We start from the raw sequence: 19933 nt of genomic DNA, 5'->3' as shown, positions 1-19933 counted from the left end.
GGTCCATTAGATCCAGGCTTTAAAAAGTTTCCCAGATGGTTCTGATGATTGGCCAAATTTTTGGAACCACTGGGCTTTAGTGCTTCTCAGACTTCAGTGTGTGTGTTTTTTTTTAAATTGTGATAAACACATAACATAAAATTTATCATTCCAACTCATTTTTAAAGTGTACAATTTGCTAGGCGTGGTGGCTCATGCCTGTAATCCCAGCACTTTGGGAGGCCAAGGTCGGGGTGTGGATCACCGGAGGTTAGGAGTTCGAGAGCAGCCTGACCAACATGGTGAAACCCCATCTTTACTAAAAATACAAAATTAGCCGGGCCTGGTCGTGCATGCCTGTAATCCCAGCTACTCAGGAGGCTGAGGCAGGAGAATTGCCGCTTGAACATGGGAGGCAGAGGTTACAGTGAGCCGAGATCGCGCCATTGCACTCCAGCCTGGGCAACGAGAGCGAAACTCCGTCTCAAAAAAAAAAAAAAAAAAAAGTGTACAATTCAGTGGTATTTTACACACTTACAATGTTGTACTATCATTACCAGGATCTAGTTCTAGTGCATTTTCATCACCCCCTAAATCAGACTTCCAATGTTTTTAAGAATCTCTGGGGTGTTTGTGCCAGCACAGTTTCCTGGCCCCACCCCAGAGATTTTGACTTGGTAGTTCGGGGTGGGCCTGAGAAATTACACTTGTAACAGACTCCTGGGTGATGCTGACACTGCTGATCTGGGGACCCACTTTGAGGAACACTAGGCTAGATCCTTCTGTTTCATCTTCTAGATTCTCTCACCTCACACATACTCTTTTGTATGATTCTTCTTTTTAAAATCAAGCATTTAGATGTTTACACAACATTTGAGGAAGGGTCTGCAAGAGCGTAGGGTGGCACAATGGCTGACAACCACAACTTAGACCCTTGTGTTAACTCAGCATAAGGCCTGGGGAGTTCTCCAATGGGAGTATTCACACCCCCTTCCATTCTGTCCCCTCTCACATCAAGATGTGGCCATATTTCCCCTCGTGTCATTGTCCCTGAGTTGGGGAGGAACAAGCAAGAGATATTCTTGAATATTCTTTTTGTTTTTTTGAGATGGAGCCTCACTCTGTCACCCAGGCTGGAGTGCAGTGGTGAGATCTTGGCTCACTGCAGCCTCCATCTCCCGGGTTCAAGTGATTCTCCTGCCTCAGCCTCCCAAGTAGCTGGGATTACAGATGGGAGCCACCACCCCTGGCTAATGTTTGTATTTTTAGTAGAGACTAAGTTTTGCCATGTTGGCCAGGCTGGTCTCAAGCTCCTGACCTCAAGTGATCCATCCGCCTTGGCCTCCCAAAGTGCTGGGATTACAGGTGTGAGCCACAGTGTCCGGACTTAATTTTTTTTTTTTTTTTTTTTGGTGAGACAGAGTCTTGCTCTGTTGCCCAGGCTGGAGTGCAATGGCACGATCTCGGCTCACTGCAACCTCCGACTCCCTGGTTCAAGCGATTCTCCTGCCTCAGCCTCCCGAGTAGCTGGGACTATAGGCACGTGCCACCACACCCAGCTAATTTTTGTATTTTTAGTAGAGATGGAGTTTCACCATGTTGGCCAGTATACTCTCGATCTCCTGACCTCATGATCTGCCCGTCTCGGCCTCCCAAAGTGCTGGGATTACAGGAGTGAGCCACCATGCTCGGCCTTGAATATTCTTTAAAAAATAACAAGCACAGGGCCATGTAGAAGTGTCAGAGCTTGGGAAAAAGGGACTTTTAGATTTCTACTTTGAATATGGGTGGGAATCCCAAATATGAGTTGTGGGGGAATAATAATACCCCTAATGCCTTATATTTGGACAGTAATTTTGAGGCTGGAATCCTCTCTGATGTCTATTATTAATGTGATTTATTGTCACAACAACCCTTATATATATATTTGATAAATATATGCTTAGCGTTGATGTAATTAAAATGAATTTGTTCTCTTGACAAGCTTAACTGCAGGGCTGGCATTATCCTTAATTTTAGTGATTTGCCTGCAGTCAAACAGCCAGCAGATGTTGAAGCCAGGATTCAAGGTCAGACACTGGCCCTCCTGACTCTGCTGGCAGAAGTGGATCTGCAGATGAAGCTGCGGTGACAACGTTCTTGTGTGATGATTCTGAAACTTAGTGTGGTGAACTGGGCTTAGAAATCTTAAAAAGAAGAGGCTGTACAAAATCCACTTTTCCCCAGCTTTTTCTTCTAGCAACTGCACTGGCTCTTCTTTTTGCCTCCTAGTTCAGAGGCTAGGACATCATTTCCCAGCTCTTAAGCATGACACGACTTTTCTCGAGGTGTGCCAAATGTGGCATGGAGCTCCCATATTTGAGACTTTGTTTGCCTGAGAGCCCAAGAATGGCTGGGAGCTGAAATGAAGAGAAGGCCATGTTCAGATGCACTGAGTTGGCTTTTATAGTGGAACATAAGCCAGACATAAGCTCCTTACTCCCTGGCAGCTGAAAGAACTGTTTAACTCTGGATGGCGGGAGAAAGCAATGACAAACTTCGCCTTGAGGCCAAAATTATGTTCAGTTACTCTATGGGTTAGGTACAGATCATATCTTGTATATACCTGGCACATGCACTCCATAAACATTTACTTCTTGGACAAAATCAACCAGTCCAACTGTATCAGCAACTTCAGTGGTGGCCACATTTTCCCCTTTCCACCTGGAAGAAAGGACAAAGTTAGCAGAGGTCACTGGTGGTTTCTGGCCCAGGTTGCAATGTCGGAGAGCTGGTGTTTCCTTTAGATTTCTGCATGATCCTGATCTCGTGTTCCTCATCTTGGCCCCTCAAACTCCCCAACTTAGTCCTGGCCGGGGTATCTTGTTTGAGGCATAAAAGGGAAAAGTATAGACCTAGATAACAAAATATGGAATTTCAATGTTGCCACATGAAACACAATACACAGAATAATGTTCTAATGTTAAAATACAGCCCTAGCTAAGAAAGGCAGTGGAAATTAGAAAGAAATCTCAACGATTTTCTGCTGTTTAGGTCTCTCAATTTCTCATTTACTAACTCAGTTGCTACTTAATTCAGTTTCTGAAGTTCTTTTTAATAGAACTTCATATTTTATTTCAGGGTCTCACGGCAACAAGAAAGGAAAAAAAAAATCACACTTTAGTTACAGGGAGATTCTAATGTTAAGGCCCAACCAGGTGCTATTTTTCACTTAATAAAGAGTTAAATTTTGTTTTCATTAAAAATTCTTTTTTTTTTTTTTTTTTTTTTTGAGGCAGAGTCTCATTCTATCACTTAGGCTGGAGTGCAGTGGTGCAATCTCAGCTCACTGCAACCTCCGTCTCCCAGGTTCAAGTGATTCTTTTGCCTCAGCCTCCCAAGTAGCTGGGACTACAGGCGCGTGCCACTATGTCCAGCAATTTTTGTACTTTTAGTAGAGACAGGATTTTACCTTGTTGGCCAGGCTGGTCTGGAACTCCTGACCTCAGGTGATCCACCCGCCTCGGCCTCCCAAACTGCTGGGATTACAGGCGTTAGCCACCACGCCTGGCCCATTAAAAATTCTTTAGCCCTCCCAGAAGTATCATCTTAATAACATGAAGATGGCATAAAGTGATATGGATCTTAAGACATGGAATAGTAGAGATGGAAGGACCCTGAGAATCATCGTGACCCACATCTCAAGGGCAAAAGGACTGAGGTCCAGAATGGTTATCTGTCTTGATACCACTGCTGCTCAGTGGGAGAGGTGAGCCTGGTTCTCCTCATTCCACCTGCTGTCTTTCTACTGCAGTTAGACAACTTCCATCCCTTCCTCATTCATTCATGCAAAAAATGACACCAGGCACCATGGTAGGTGCTGGGGGTGAACAGGCAGACACAGGGCCTGCCCTCAGGGAGTTTACACAGGAAGGAAGCTGTGTCATGAGGCTGGAGGACTGTGCTATGGTTGGAAGTTAATTCCATGGTCTGTTAGAAGGACTTCCAAACTTCCTTGTGCTGACCTGGGGGTTCTGTGGGAAACCATCTGGTTGGGGATGAAAGGGGTTGGGGGAAGGGGCTCCGAACCCCTCACCTCCTCTTCAACTAGATCAGCTCCACATTAATTTGCATCTGATTTTATCTAAACACCTCCATGATTGGAAAGGTGAAAATCCTTGGCTGTCCTAAGAGTGACCAGTAATAATGCAGGAGAAACAAGAGGAGTTAAATGTACTTTTGTCTCCAGAAATCAGATACAGGTTTCCTGCCTTATTCTCATCTGGTGTTGCTCAGCCAAGTTAACCGTGCACTGCAGAGTGACACTTCATGCACTTCATTCCTCATTCTCTGGGAACACAGGAGTTTGACCTGATGTGCCAAAGATAGAGAAGGAAATGCACCATAACCAAAGTGGAATGCGATTCCACTAGGAGTAAGCCAAACTGTGCGTGTGTTTGTTTTTGGCTCAATGATTCAGAAAAACCAACCGGAATGTATCTCCAACTCTGTCGTGGAAATAGATGAAATTTTCATGGTCAACCATTAAGAGATCTCCACTGTTGAAATAGAGGTCTCCTTTCTTAAAGACATCTCTCAGTTTTTTCTTCTCTGTCTGAGCCTTTGCTCCAGCATAGCCATTAAATGGTGTAAGTTGTGTGATTTTGCAAACCAGAAGTCCAACTTCACCTAAGACAGAAGAAAGTAAACTTATTTTATGTGCTAGAGGTCAAATTTATACATCAACCTTCTCTTAAAACTAATGCCATACAACCTGCTGGCAACAAGCTGGCTGTAGGAAGTATCATTTTCCATGCATGTATACCTGTGAATTATATGTACATATATATTACAGACACACATACATACACCACACACACATATACTGTACATTATTGTATATGGCCTAATTATTTTACTTTTATTTTTATTTTTCTGAGATGGAATCTTGCCCTGTTGCCCAGGCTGGAGTACAGTGGTGCAGTCTCGGCTCACTGCAACCTCTGCCTCCCATGGTCAAGGGATTCTCCTGCCTCAGCCTCCCAAGTAGCTGGGGTTACAGGTGTGTGCCATCGTGCCCAGCTAATTTTTGTATTTTCAGTAGGGACAGGATTTTGCCATGTTGGCCAGGCTGGTCTCGAACTCCTTATCTCAAATGATCAGCCTTCCTCAACCTCCCAAAGTGTTGGGATTACAGGCGTGAGCCACCACACCTGGCCTGTAATTCTTTTACTGCTAATTTTTTACTGAATAATGATTTATGCACACTTACACAAACGCACAGTTGTTAAAGCTTAAAGGTAAAGGCCACCTAAAACTATAGTTTTGCAACCACAATTACATATCCCTTCCCACAAAACATTACCTCATAAGCAAGAAGTTGTTAAGCTATGTTTAAAACTAGAATTATGTTACATGCAGCGGTAAATTAGCACCTTTGGAATTCCTGTATATTGGAGGGTACTTAAATAAACCCCCCTTTTCCCCACTCTGATAAATTTTACCATGTGGCAATAATATGTTAGTCCTTAAAAGTCACTTGATCAAGATAAGAAGGGGCACAGGTTGATTGAACAAAAGTCCACTGTACCTTTGGGAACTCTGACGCAATATCCATTTTCATCACGGACAGGTTCATCTTTCTCCACATCATATTTAATCAGGTCATAAGTTATGATTTTCTAGCAAGATTAAAATAATTTTGAGTATAAATCTTTTATAATTTTTCCCTTTTTAATTGTGGTATAACACAAAGTATATCTTAGGCGTACAGGTTGAAGAAATTTTGCATTTGCATATACCCTTAAAACTGCCACCCAGAGAGAGACAGAGAAAACTTTCATTTCACCTAGAAAGTTTCCTCCTGCCCTTTTCTGTGAAGTTAACTACTATTCTGACTTATACTGCTGTCAATTAATCTTAAATATCAAATAAATGAAATAAATGTATGCTTCTGTGTCTGCTTCTTTCACTAAATATGTCTATAATATTCATCCATCCATGTTGGTGTTTTTTATTGCCATGCAATTTTCCCTTGTATAAACATACCACGATTTATTTATCTATTTTCCTGTTAATGGGTATTTGGATTATTTCTAGTTTTGGCCTATTATAAATAAAGCTGTTATGAACATTCTTGTGTCTTTTGGTGGATGTATCACAAATGGGTTTTTAAAATCTTGTATAACCTTATATTAATATGACACTATTAGATTTTTCATGTTTCTAAGGAAATGTTATCTAATATATTTTAGAATCGAAGCCATAATTATTTCATGCCCATGACTATAAAATTATGAAAACTCTATCATATTTAACATATAATTCAAAGCATAAGAATTTAATTATCAGCAATTCAGTAAGAGCAATAATAAATATATTATTTTCCTTGTTGGAAGAAAAATGCAAACATGACAGTATTTGGATATAATTATTAGCCATGATTACTGTGTCTATTTCAAATTTATATTCAAGTCTATGTGATGAAGCAAACAATCATATGCTTTAGTATTAGCAGACAGCTAGTACTTGTTAAAAAAACAAGTGGTGTTTATGGTCAACAAATGTAGATCTTATTTGCAGGAATGTAAAAAATTTATAGGTAGTAATAAATGTTCTTTTCTACATCAATTGCATGGGATCATCCGGTTTTTAAAGTTTTTTTTTTTAATGTTTTGCTTAAAGTAGAAAAACTGACAATAAAATATGGCAATCAATGGATGAGAAAGTAAAGAATGGGTAATATACAGCATTAGCTGACCCTCAGCAGCAGTTCCAGTGGGGTGTAGGAGATCGATTCTCAGTCTGCAGCAGCACTGCCCAGGAATCTGCTGTGATGATGGAAATATTCTCTGTCTGCATTGCTCAATACGGTAGTTACTAACCACACGTGGCTATTCAGCACTGGAAATGTGGCTAGTGTGACTGAAGAACTGGATTTAAACTTTTATTAATATAACTTAAATTTAAGTAGCCACATGTAGCTAGTGGCTACTGTTTGGACAGCGCAGGTCTAGAGGACTGTGGAGGGACTTGTGTAGCGTAGGTGGAGCTGTCATTGTCAGAGAGGGTCCTTGAACTTGGGAACACCTTGAGATTAGGCCAGAATATAAGAAATAGAGTGATTATCATCATTACGGCTAACAATTATTCAAGGCTGTTAAATGACAGGCATTGGGCTATAGCCTCTAAGGGCCTTTTCATAAGTTATTTAATCCTTTCTTTTTTTTGAGATGGAGTTTCGCTCTGTTGCCCAGGCTGGAGTGCAGTGGCGCGATCTCGACTCACTGCAAGCTCCGCCTCCCGGGTTCACGCCATTCTCCTGCCTCAGCCTCCCGAGTAGCTGGGATTACAGGCTCCCGCCACCATGCCCGGCTAATTTTTTTTATTTTTAGTAGAGACGGGGTTTCACCGTGTTAGCCAGGATGGTCTCGATCTCCTGATCTCATGATCCACCTGCCTCGGCCTCCCAAAGTGCTGGGATTACAGGCGTGAGCCGCTGCGCCTGGCTGTTTAATCCTTTCAACAATCCTTTTCCCTTATCGAGTGTGGGCTAGGCACTGGGTTCAATATTTTCTCTTGTTATCTCTGTTTTACAGATGATGAAATTGAGGCCTGAGGAGCATATGTGACCTGCCCAAGGTCACTCAGCTAGCATATGGTGGCACTGAGATTTGCTCTCCACAGCCAGGGCTCTTACGCACATGAACTACTGTCCTCTGTATTCTGCTGGCCTGTCCCTGGGGACACAGGTTGCGTGGGAGTTCTGGTGCGGCTGTTTCATGGCCAGAAAGGATGAGCTGCCCAGAGGCACAATGACCGCAGTGACTTCTCAAGCCAAAGGAGGCTCAGCATTTGCTGAACATTTCTGGATATTTGCAGAATTGTTGGTTATCTGGAAGACTGACTGCTTGAGTACAAAAAAGACAACAGAGACCCATGAGCAATAAAATGACTGACAGGGAAAAGAGACGGCTATGTGAGCTGGCTTACAAATATCTTTCTGGTGGAATTATTAGGTAGACATAAATGTTCACCAGATCCTAGCACTGAGATGCCTGGGCTCCACCTCAGAACAACTGAATCCAAAGCCTAGCGGGTTGGTCCTTGCATCTGTGCATATAAAAAAAACTCCCCAGGTGATGGTGCTGCACGACACAATTAAAGGGAAATACTATGTTTCACAGTGTACGATTAGCTTACGGAACTTGTAACCTTCAGGTGTTTTATCACATGCAAGTATAAATGGCATCAGGAAGACTTCACCTAAGTTGCAGATGGCAAGGGCACAATGGATTGTTCTTAATAGAAGTTGAGATGCTTTTAATTGGAGGATCTGATTTTTTGAAGTCATCATCACAGAGAATGAGCAAAACTTCTCTTGGTGATAGGAATGGGCCATGGCTCTGATGCTGCCTGACTTCTGATAACATCATCATGACTTGGCTTTTAAGAAGTCTCTGTATTCTGAAAACTGGCTACGTATGCTCTCATTTTTCAATGTACTTACTTTCTGTAGGTAGTTTACTCTTCCAACAGCACCAACTTTTCTCGCATAATTCATAAATCCAATATTGCCTTCAGTGGCAGCATAGAACTCATAGATGCATATGTCCCCAAATCTCTTGACAAATTGTCTCCACACATCTCCTCGTAAGCCATTTCCCAGTGCCAGTCTCACTTTATGATCACGGTCATTTGGTTTCTGTGGTGGGGGAGAAGAAGGAGACCAAACTGAAACATCTCTGGAGCCTATGCTTACATATTAATAATTGCCTTTATTTTGTATGTATTTAATTTATACTGACATTGCCTTTATTACATATTTATGTTGGTTATAAATGCCCCTTAGTGTCTGCCTTTTTCCTGCCACCCACACACATCGTTCCCTATTCCTCTAGCACAAGCAGTATGGTCTGACAGCTGGAACTATGATTTAACAACCAAAACATGTGAATTCTCCCATTTTGGTTTCTAAGGAGCCAGATGAGGCAATCTGACAGAACCAGGTGATGCCAACATTTAATCCATATCCAATCTAAAGTTAGAATAATGTGTATAATATGTTCATAGTTTTCTTGATGGGGCTGGTGAACACTGGTGAATTTCCAGAAAGGAAGAGCCACATGGGAAAGATCTGTCAGAGATGGGCACAATCTACTACCAGTGGGACCCTGAGCAGTGTCTAGGATTTTTATGACAATAAAGAAGAAAACAGGAAACACAGTCCAGTGAGCGACAGAGAGAGAGAGAAAGCCATTTTCCACAAAGCCATTAAAGAGCAACAGTTGGATCCTGTGGGAACTGCAGGGAAGAGTCTTGACCATGCCCTGCCCCATTTAACAGGTAGACTCCAGTGTTCATAAGATCAGGCAGAGCTGAACCGAGACAACAAAACTGTCCCAGTGGGATGGGGAGGGGAAGAGAAGGAGGAGGCCACCTCCCAGTTGCCTCAGGTGGCCTGGGAAGAATATGATTTGCTGTAAGTAAAGATCACAAAGGAAAGTCTGTTTTGGGTGTAAGGACTGAAAGGAGTCTCTCTGGTGTCAGCAAGAGAGGTGGGGCTATGACCAGGCTGCCTTCCATTCAACCACAGTCATTTAGGAGACCCCACAAATATGTCCATGCCAATGATGGTTTTATTTATTTTATTTTATTATTTTTAATTGTTAACAAAGACTAGTCAAGTACAGTAGTGAGAAGAGGGGAAAGAGTAGAACAAGAAGTTTGATCTATAACTGTGAACAATCAATTGAGGTAACTCACTACCTTCAGACCAGCCCGGTGATGGTTTTAATATCTTATGTTAATAATGTAATTTATGTCCTCCAGGAAATCACAGGTTGGTGGAAGAGACAAATAAATAGGTATAATTTTACGTTGTAAATTCTGTTACTCTATGACCTTTATTCTATCAGGATACAGAATGAAATGGGGTAACAGTGCTAGGTCATTAGGGCTGTCCTCTCACATCAACTGTTAATTTCTTTGATAAAACAGCAATTGGTTAGAGCTTTTTCTATATTATTTCTTACACTGTGAAATCACTGTGAAGTGGTTTTGGAATAAGAATTACTCTTTGAAAAGCACTATAAGGGTACGGGACTTTGGCATGGCAATTAAAAACCACACCAAGGCAAACTCTGAATTGGTTTCCATGCAGGAGGAGCTAAGGCGCCAGGGAAGCAGAAAATAAACATTTAATCTTTAAGTAGCTTGGCCAGAACATATGCGGCTTTTTGAGGAGTCCCACCCAGAGAGGTGGACTGATGCTGGTCACTGGTGAAAATGGGCCCCTTGAGCAGTCATTCTGAGGAGGAAATGTGTCAAGAGAGACCAGCCCACCCCCACCCCACCGCCAGTGGCTCTTACCCAGGGTGTCTGGGGGAGCTGCCTGAGAAGCCTTTTGAACCTGCATGAGACCTAGACATTCAGACTGAGTAGGAATCTATTTTCTCTCTCTCTTTTTTTTTTCGAGACAGGGTCTTGCTCCATTGCCTAGGCTGGTGCAATTATGGCTTACTGCAGCCTTAACTCCCAGGCTCAAGCGATCCTCCTGCCTCAGCCTCATGAGTGGCTGGGACTACAGGTGCGTGCTACCATACCTGGCTAATTTATTTATTAATTTTGTAGAGATGAAGTTCTCACTATGTTGCCCAGGCTCATTTTGAACTCCTGGCCTCAAGCTATCCTCCTGCCTCGGCCCCCTAAAATGCTGGAATTACAGGCATGAGCCACTGTGCCCAGCCAGAATCTATTCTCTTCTGGTCCCTAGGTCACTGACTCTACCCCGCTTTATAATTACCAAGCTCCCGTTAAGTCCAGAGATCATATGTCTGGTTTGCCAGGGCAAGCCCTGGCTATACGTGTCCTGGAATGCTGGTTATCTTTCATTACCTTCACTCTCAAGTGTCCCTGTTTGGATACTGAATTGTAGGGTCACCCTGCCCACAAGGCACTATCCTCTTCCATAAGGACTGTCAGTATTCAGAGACCACCCCCTCCCACTGCCGCCCCAAGGATAAAACATCACACATATTTGAAGACTTGCTTTTGCTTAAAGAAGATCACCTGAGCTGGGTGCTCACCTGCTCCCAGGCTTGCAATGGAAGCTCCAAAGCAGCATTCCCACATGTAGACCCAAGGTCTTACTTATCCCACATGCAGCCCGCCAGCAGCCCTTCTCCTACCCACTTCGTTTATTTCCTTGTCTATTGGATGGTGATTATCTATCTCCCTCATTAAATGGTAAACTCCTTTGAGGCCAAATGTACATGTATCTCTATGTCATCCCCAGTGCCTGGACCTGTGCTTTGCATAGAGCATAATCCTGGCAGTAAAATAGATAATCTCTACCAGGAAACCTCACTCCCTGTTCAATAATTAGTGGCCAGGTCAGGGCAGGGCTTAGGGTGCAGGAGGCCGCAGGCACCCTGGGTGTGTGGGAAGCTGACCAGCCTCACAGGTGCAGCTATCACCTGCCAGTAGCAGGTAGCTGAGCTCATAATCACAACACCATGGGCTCAGTTTTCATCATCCAGCTGAAGAATCTTATTACATCAGCAAAAGGGATTAAGGCTGGAAATGTTTGTGGGCACAAATGGGAGATCCTGGAGGCTTCTAAGATGTCTGGTTCTCACCTAAGCTTTTGCTCACCAGTGGCTGAAAGAGTATGACTCAAGTTTTCCTTTCCCATAGGGCGAACAGTGTTTCTCCATCACCAAAGCTACTCCTCAGAGGAACTGATTTCTAGATCAAGGGTCACCAGCTTATTTTTTTTAAACAAGAAAAAAACCTTCTTCGTCACATTAGAGCTAAGGTGAAACATGCAAACACACCTGGGGGACTGATGAGGAGCAAGAGGTCAAGATGTCCAGAGAGGAATGAAGGGTGCCAGGTAATTAACACAGGCAGAAAGCTTCTATTGAAGGCTTTTCTGTGGGTCAGGCAGTTGACCTGTTTCTAAAGAACCCTATGAAAGGTGATAGCTAATAAAAGTATTTGCCTCATATTACAATTGAGGAAATGGAGACTCAGGAAGCTTAAAATTATTTTCCCAGGATCACAAAGGTAGCAAAACGGTTGCTCCAAGATTCAAATCTGAATCAATGTGGCTTCAGAGAGCTCTTTTCCTTATTTTTTTTTTAAAGCCCTGCACTTGAGAGGGCGTCCACTGTGCTGCCCCTCCTTACTCATGCCCACCAATAAATTCCACCCCCCACAAAAAAAAGAAAAAAGGAAAAAAAGCAACAAAGAGAGAGTGCCACACACATAGTGTAAGATAAGAAACAAATAGTCCTGAAAGACCCTTAAGTGAACAATGCTGTATTCACGCCATCTACCTGTTCCCACCCTTCACCCCCAGTTTACCACCCAGAGGCAGACAGTTAACTCTTGTAGCTGCTTCTTGCTATCTGCATATTTCTAAATTAAATTCTAAATTAAATGCTTATACTTCTTTCTCTTGTTTCGTCAATTTCAGATTTCCTATTGTGGTAGATGAGGATTCAGTTCTTTCCTATTCTCTCTCCCATTTTTCCAGTATCACAATTTTTGGTTAAACCAATATTCAGTGTTCACATTATTCTGCCCATAATACAACACTGAGGAGCCAAGTAATACACTATGAACAAATTTTTATTTTTCCTGGAATTAATTGCCTTTCTTCCAATTTGCTTCATTTCCTTAGTTTCTATTGGTAAGTTTCCCCTTATCCTCCAACAGCCTCTAAAATTTTCCTCATGGTGAAATCTATCTGCTCATGGAATTTCCTGTTTTCCATTATGCTTCTTTGTCTCCTCTGCTCCAGTCTGGACTAGTTATTTTCTAAGCCTGGGGGGTCCCTTTGTCTCTCTTTCCTTGATCCTGTGTTTTCCTCTGCTTTTTTTTCATTCTGTTTGGATGGAATATTTTCTTTAGTAAATTCCCGAAGGGGAGTATGTACATGGTAAGTTTTTTTAATTTTATTTTTACTATTTTTTTGTGGAGACTTGGAATATCTGAATATTGTATATCTGAGTGATGATTTGGCTGGATATAGAATTCTAGATGGGCAATAATTTGTATCTAGAATTTTGAAAGCACCAGTCCTTTGTTTTTCAGCTTGCAGTGTTGCTACTGACAGTCAAACTTTCACTATCTTTTTTTGGTAGTCTTAAATTTCATCATGGCACAATTTCTTTTTCCTGCACTAATTTTATTGGCTACTCCATTAGCCCTTTCAGTCTGTCCAGCCCTCGGATGTTTTCCTGTACTATTTCTTTGATCATTTCCTCCTCTCCACTTTCTCTATTCTCTTTTCCTGATTTCCAATTAAATATATATGGGACCTCTTTGATTAGTCTCTAATTTTCCTATCTACTCTCCCTTTATGACCATCAATTTATCTTTTTAACTTTCTGTAAGATTTCTCAGCTTTATCTTCCAACTTTTCTATGAATTAAAGATTTTTAAACATCATTTTAGTTTTCAAGTCTGATTCTTTTTTTCTTTTAAAACAGTACACTATTCTTGTTTTATGGATACAATATCTTCTCCAGTCTCTCTGAGGATATTAATGATACATTAAAAACATTTCTCCCGGTTTTTTTTTTTTTTTTTTTTTTTTTTGAGACAGAGTCTCGCCTCTCGCCCTGTCACCCAGGCTGGAGTGCAATGGTGCAATCTCGGCTCGATGCAACCTCTGCCTCCCGGGTTCAAATGATTCTCCTGCCTCAGCCTCCCCAGTAGCTGGGATTACTGGCGCCCACCACCGTGCCCAGCTAATTTTTGTATTTTTAGTAGAGATGGGGTTTCACCATGTTGGCCAGGCTGGTCTTGAACTCCTGACCTTGTGATCCGCCCACCTCAGCCTCCCAAAGTGCTGGGATTACAGGCGTGAGCCACCGTGCCTGGCCTCTTCTGTTTTTTGAGTTGATGCTTCTTTTCTTTTGATGATCCTTCCTGTAGGAGGCGTTCCTCAGGTGCTTGGTGATTCTTCATGTTTGTTCAGATTTAAGAGTAATGCAACAGAAAGATGATTAGGCAGTTCTGTGGGGGCAGGGTGAGGGGGCTACTGCTAGCTGGGCTGCACTGCTGGTTGACGAGGCAGTGAGCCCATGTCCAATGTCTTTTCCGGGAAAGTTTAGTTCTTCCTAAGAATTACACTCCTTCAATATCCTGCCTGCAAGCATAACCTGGCTACTGGAGTTCCAGTATCTGTGCAGGGGAAAGGAGCTGGTGGGGTCTCCCTGGTTAGTACGTAGATACTTTCTTAATCTCTGTTTTCAGTGCCTCGTCCCTGCTCTCCTCTGTTCTTGGGGTCCTTCAGTCAAAGCTTCTTTAGCTCTCCAGAGAAAAATCCTCCTGTCTCCCACACAGTGGAAGAGGGGAATAGCAGGTCCAGCTACTTCTTACACAGATTTTATTTATTTATTTTTATTTTTCCATAAGTTCTTGGGGGTACCGATGGTATTTGGTTACATGAGTAAGGTCTTCAGTGGTGATTTGTGAGATTTTGGGGCACCCATCACCTGAGCAGTATACACTGCACCATATTTGTAGTCTTTTATCCCTCGTCCCCCTCCCACTCTTCCCCCCAAGTCCCCAAAGTCTATTGTATTATTCTCATGCCTTTGTTTCCTTATAGTTTAGCTCCCACATATCAGTAAGAACATACGATGTCTGGTTTTCCATTCCTGAGTTACTTCACTTAGAATAATAGTCTCCAGTCTCATCCAGGTCACTGCAAATGCTGTTAATTTATTCCTTTTTATGGAATATATATATATTTTTTGGAATATATATATTTTTATGGAATATATATATATTTATGGATATATGTACTATATATTTATATTTTATATATCCATAAAATATATATATTTTGTGGATATATATTTATGGAATATATATATTTTTATGGAATATATATATATATCATATGGAACCAAAAAAAGAGCCCGCATAGCCAAAGCAAGACTAAGCAAAAAGAACAAATCTGGAGGCATTACATTACCTCACTTCAAACTATACTATATATATATATATATATATATATATATATATATATATATATATACACACACACACACACCACAGTTTCTTTATCCACTTGTTGATTGATGGGCATTTGGGTTGGTTCCACGATTTTGCAATTGTGAATTGTGCTGCTATAAAAATGCGTGTAGAAGTATCTTTTTTGAATAATGACTTCTTTTCCTCTGGGTAGATACCCAGTAAGTGGGATTGCTGGATCAATGGTAGTTCTACTTTTAGTTATTTAAGGAATCTCCACGCTGTTTTCCATAGTGGCTGTACTAGTTTACATTCCCACCAGTAGTGTAGAAGTGTTCCCTGTTCACTGCATCCATGCCAACATCTGCTGTTTTTGATTTTTTTGATTATGGCCATTCTTGAAGGAGTAAGGTGGTATCGCATTGTAGTTTTGATTTGCATTTCCCTGATCATTAGTGATGTTGAGCATTTTTTAATGTTTATTGGCCATTTGTATATCTTCTTTTGAGAATTGTCTATTCATGTCCTTAGCCCACTTTTTGATGGGATTGTTTGTTTTTCTCTTACTGATTTGAGTTTGTTGTAGATTCTGGATATTATTCCTTTGTCAGGTGTATAGATTGTGAAGATTTTCTCCCACTCCGTGGGTTGTCTGTTTACTCTGCTGACTGTTCCTTTTGCTGTGCAAACGTTCTTTAGTTTAATTAGGTCCTAGCTATTTATCTTTGTTTTTATTGCATTTGCTTTCGGGTTCTTGGTCATGAAATCCTTGCCTAAGTCAATGTCTAGAAGGGTTTTTCCAATGTTATGTTCTAGAATTTTTATAGTTTCGCGTGTCAGGTTTAAGTTCTTAATCCATCTTGAGTTGAGTTTTGTATAAGGTGAGAGATGAGAATCCAGTTTTATTCTACACATGGCTTGGCAATTATCTGAGCACCATTTGTTGAATAGGGTGTACTTTGCCCCCTTTATGATTTTGTTTACTTTGTCAAAGATCAGTTGACTGTAAGTATTTAGCTTTATTTCTGGGTTCTCTATTCTGTGGCAATGGTCTACATGCCTGTTTTTATACCAGTACCATGCTGTTTTGGTGACTATGGCCTTATAGTATAGTTTGAAGTGGGGTAATGTAATGCCTCCAGATTTGTTCTTTTTGCTTAGTCTTGCTTTGGCTATGCGGGCTCTTTTTTTGGTTCCATATGAATTTTAGAATTTTCTTTTCTAATTCTGTGAAGGATGATGGTGGTATTTTGATGGGATTGCATTGAATTTGTAGATTGCTTTTGGCAGTATGGTCATTTTCACAATATTGATTCTACCCAGCCATGAGCATGGGATATGTTTCCATTTGTTTGTTTAGTTTATGATTACTTTCAGCAGCATTTTGTAGTTTTATGTAGAGGCCTTTTGACTCCTTGGTTAGATATATTCTTAGGTATTTTATTTTTTTTGCAGCTATTGTAAAAGGGGTTGAGTTCTTGATTTGAGTCTTTGCTTGGTCGCTGTTGGTGTATAGAAGAGCTACTGATTTGTGTACATTAATCTTGTATCTGGAAACTATGCTGAATTCTTTTATCAGTCCTAGGAACTTTCTAGAGGAGTCCTTAAGAGTTTTCAAGGTAAATGATCATATCGTCAGCAAGCAGTGACAGTTTGACTTCCTCTTTACTGATTTGGATGCCCTGTATTTCTTTCTCTTGTCTGATTGGTCTAGCTAGGACTTCCAGTACTATGTTAAAGAGGAGTGGTGAGAATGGGCATCCTTGTCTTGTTCCAGTTCTCAGGGGGAATGCTTTCAACTTTTCCCCATTCAGTATTATGTTGGCAGTGGGTTTATTATAGATGGGTTTTATTACTTTAAGGTATGTCCCTTGTATGCCGATTTTGCTGAGAGTTTTAATCATAAAGAGATGCTGGATTTTGTTGAATGCTTTTTCTGCACCTATTGAGATTATCATGTGATTTTTTACATTTTGTTTATGTGTTGTATCACATTTATTGACTTGCATATGTGAAACCATCCCTGCATCCCTGGCATGAAACCCACTTGATCATGGTGGATTATCTTTTTGATATGTTGTTGGATTTGGCTAGCTAGTATTTTGTTAAGGATTTTAGCATCTGTGTTCATGAAGGATATTGGTCTGCAGTTTTCTTTTTTGGTTATGTCCTTTCTGGTTTTGGTATTAGGGTGATTCTGGCTCTATGGAATGAATTAGGGAGGGTTCCTTCTTTCTCTATCTTGTGGAATAGTGTCAAAAGAATTGGTACCAATTCTTCTTTGAACATCTGGTAGAATACTGCTGTGAATCCATCTGGTCCTGGACTTTTTTTTGTCGGTAATTTTTAAATTACCATTTCAATCTTCCTGCTTGTTATTGGTCTGTTCCAGGGTATCTAATTCTGATTTAATCTGATTTAAGCCAGGAGGGTTGTATTTTTTCCAGGAATGTATCTAGCTCTTCTAGGTTTTCTAGTTTATGTGCGTAAGGGTGTTCATAGTAGCCTTGAATGATCTTTTGTATTTCAGTGGTGTTAGTTGTAATATCTCCTGTTTTGTTTCTTAGTGAGGTTATTTGGATTTTTTCTCTTCTTTTCTTGGTTAATCTTACTAATGGTCTATCAATTTTATCTTTTCAAAGAACCAGCTTTTTGTTTCATTTATCTTTTTTTTTGTTTGTTTGTTTGTTTCAATTTCATTTAGTTCTGCTCTGATCTTGGTTATTTCCCTTCTTCTGCTGGGTTTGGGTTTGGTTTGTTCTTGTTTCTCTAGTTTCTTGAGGTGTGACCTTAGATTGTCTGTTTGTGCTCTTTCAGTGTTTTTGTTACAGGCGTTTAGGGCTATGAAGATTCCTCTTAGCACCGCCTTTGTTGTATCCCAGAGGTTTTGATGGGTTGTGTCATTATTGTCGTTCAGTTTGAAGAATTTTTTCATTTCTGTCTTGATTTTGTTTTTGACCCAATGCTCATTCAGGAGCAGGTTATTTAATTTCCCTGTATTTGCATGGTTTTGAAGGTTCCTTTGGAGTTAATTTCCAGTTTTATTCCACTGTGGTCTGAGACAGTGCTGGATATAATTTCAATTTTCTTAAATTTATTGAAGTTCATTTTATGGGCCACCATGTGGTCTATCTTGGTGAAAGTTAGAAAGTTATGCGCTGTTGAATAGAATGTGTATTCTGCTGCTGTTGGATGAAATGTTCTGTATATATCTGTTAAGTCCATTTGTTCCAAAGTATAGTTTAAATCCATTGTTTCTTTGTTGACTTTCTGTCTTGATGACCTGTCTAGTGCTGTCAGTGGAGTATTGAAGTCCCCCACTGTTATTGTGTTGCTGTCTATCTTATTTCTTAGGTCTAGTAGCAATTGCTTTATAAATTTGGGAGCTCCAGTGTTAGGTGCATATATATTTAGGATTGTGATATTTTCCTGCTGGACAAGGCCTTTTACAATTCTATACTGTCTCTGTTTGTCTCTTTTAACCACTGTTGCTTTAAAGTTTGTTTTGTCTGATATAGGAATAGCTACCTCTGCTCACTTTTCATGTCCTTTCACATGAAATGCCTTTTTCTACCTGTTTACTTTAAGTTTATGTGAGTCCTTATGTGCTAGGTGAGTCTCCTGAAGGCAGCAGTTGGTTGGTGAGTTCTTATCCATTCTGCAGTTCTGTATCTTTTAAGTGGAGCATTTAGGCCATTTACATTCAATGTTAGTATTGAAATGTGAGGTACTGTTGCTTTCATCATGCTCTTTGTTGCCTGTGAACTTTTGTTTTTTTGTTGTTTGCTTTTTCACTTGTATTCTTGTTTTATAGGTCTTGTGTGATTTATACTGTAAAGAGGTTGTGTTATGATGTGTTTGCAGGATTTGTTTCAAGATTTAGAGCTTCTTTTAGCAGGTCTTGTAGTGGTAACGTGGTAATGGCGAATTCTCTCAGCATTTGTTTGTCTGAAAACGACTGTATCTTTTCTTCATATATGATGCTTAGTTTTGCTGGATACAAAATTCTTGGCTTACACTTGTTTTGTTTGAGGTGGTTGAAGATAGGGCCCCAATCCCTTCTAGCTTGTAGGGTTTCTGCTGAGAAATCTGTTAATCTAATAGGTTTTCCTTTGTAGGTCACCAGGTGTTTCTGTCTCACAGCTCTTAAGATTCTTTCCTTGGTCTTAACTTTGGATAACCTGATGACAATGTGCCTAGGCAAAGATCTTTATGTGATGAATTTCCCAGGTGTTCTTTGTGCTTCATGTATTTGCATGTCTAGGTCTAGCAAGGCTTGGAAGTTTTCCTCAATTATTCACCCAAATATGTTTTTCAAGTGTTTAGAATTGTCTTCTTCCTCAGGAACATCAAGTATTCTTAGGTTTGGTCTTTTAATCCTAGACTTCTTGGAGGCTTTGTTCATATTTCCTTATTATTTTTTCTTTGTCTTTATTTATTGGGTTAATTCAAAGACCTTGACTTCGAGCTCTGAATTTCTTTCTTCTACTTGTTCAATTCTATTGCTGAGACTTTCCAGAGCATTTAGCATTTCTAAAAGTGTGTCCAAAGTTTCCTGAATTTTTGCTTGTTTTTTTCATTTACTTTTTTTTTTTTTTTTTTTTGAGACAGAGTCTCACTCTGTCTCCCAGGCTGGAGTGCAGTGGCGCGATCTTGGCTCACTGCAAGCTCTGCCTCCCAGGTTCATGCCATTCTCCTGCCTCAGCCTCCCGAGTAGCTGGGACTACAGGTGCCTGCCACCACTCCAGCTAATTTTTTTGTATTTTTAGTAGAGAAGGGGTTTCACTGTGTTAGCCAGGATGGTCTCAATCTCCCGACCTTGTGATCTGCCTGCCTCAGCCTCCCAAAGTGCTGGGATTACAGGCTTCAGCCACCATGCCTGGCCCTGTTTTTTTCTTTAAGCTATCTATTTGCTTGAATATTTCTCCTTTCACTCTTGTAACGTTTTTTTGGATTTCCTTGCATTGGGCTTCATATTTCT

The 19933-nt window shown here is 40.7% G+C and overlaps 1 protein-coding gene across 2 annotated transcripts in view; it reads right to left on the bottom strand.

The window, feature by feature from the left end:
• Nucleotides 1-19933, bottom strand: part of SLC27A2 (solute carrier family 27 member 2) — a 54190-nt gene that overhangs the window by 4759 nt on the left and 29498 nt on the right. For both annotated transcript variants that reach the window (NM_003645.4, NM_001159629.2), the window contains 4 exons: nt 8468-8662; nt 5549-5639; nt 4449-4647; nt 2585-2682 (listed from right to left, as the gene is read on the bottom strand). In NM_003645.4, coding sequence (NP_003636.2) covers nt 2585-2682; nt 4449-4647; nt 5549-5639; nt 8468-8662 — 583 coding nt within the window. The remainder of the gene's footprint in view (nt 1-2584; nt 2683-4448; nt 4648-5548; nt 5640-8467; nt 8663-19933) is intronic.

Source organism: Homo sapiens, chromosome 15 (genome assembly GCF_000001405.40).
Source record: "Homo sapiens chromosome 15, GRCh38.p14 Primary Assembly".
NCBI lineage: Eukaryota > Metazoa > Chordata > Mammalia > Primates > Hominidae > Homo > Homo sapiens.
This window is presented reverse-complemented; position numbering and strand designations above follow the sequence as displayed.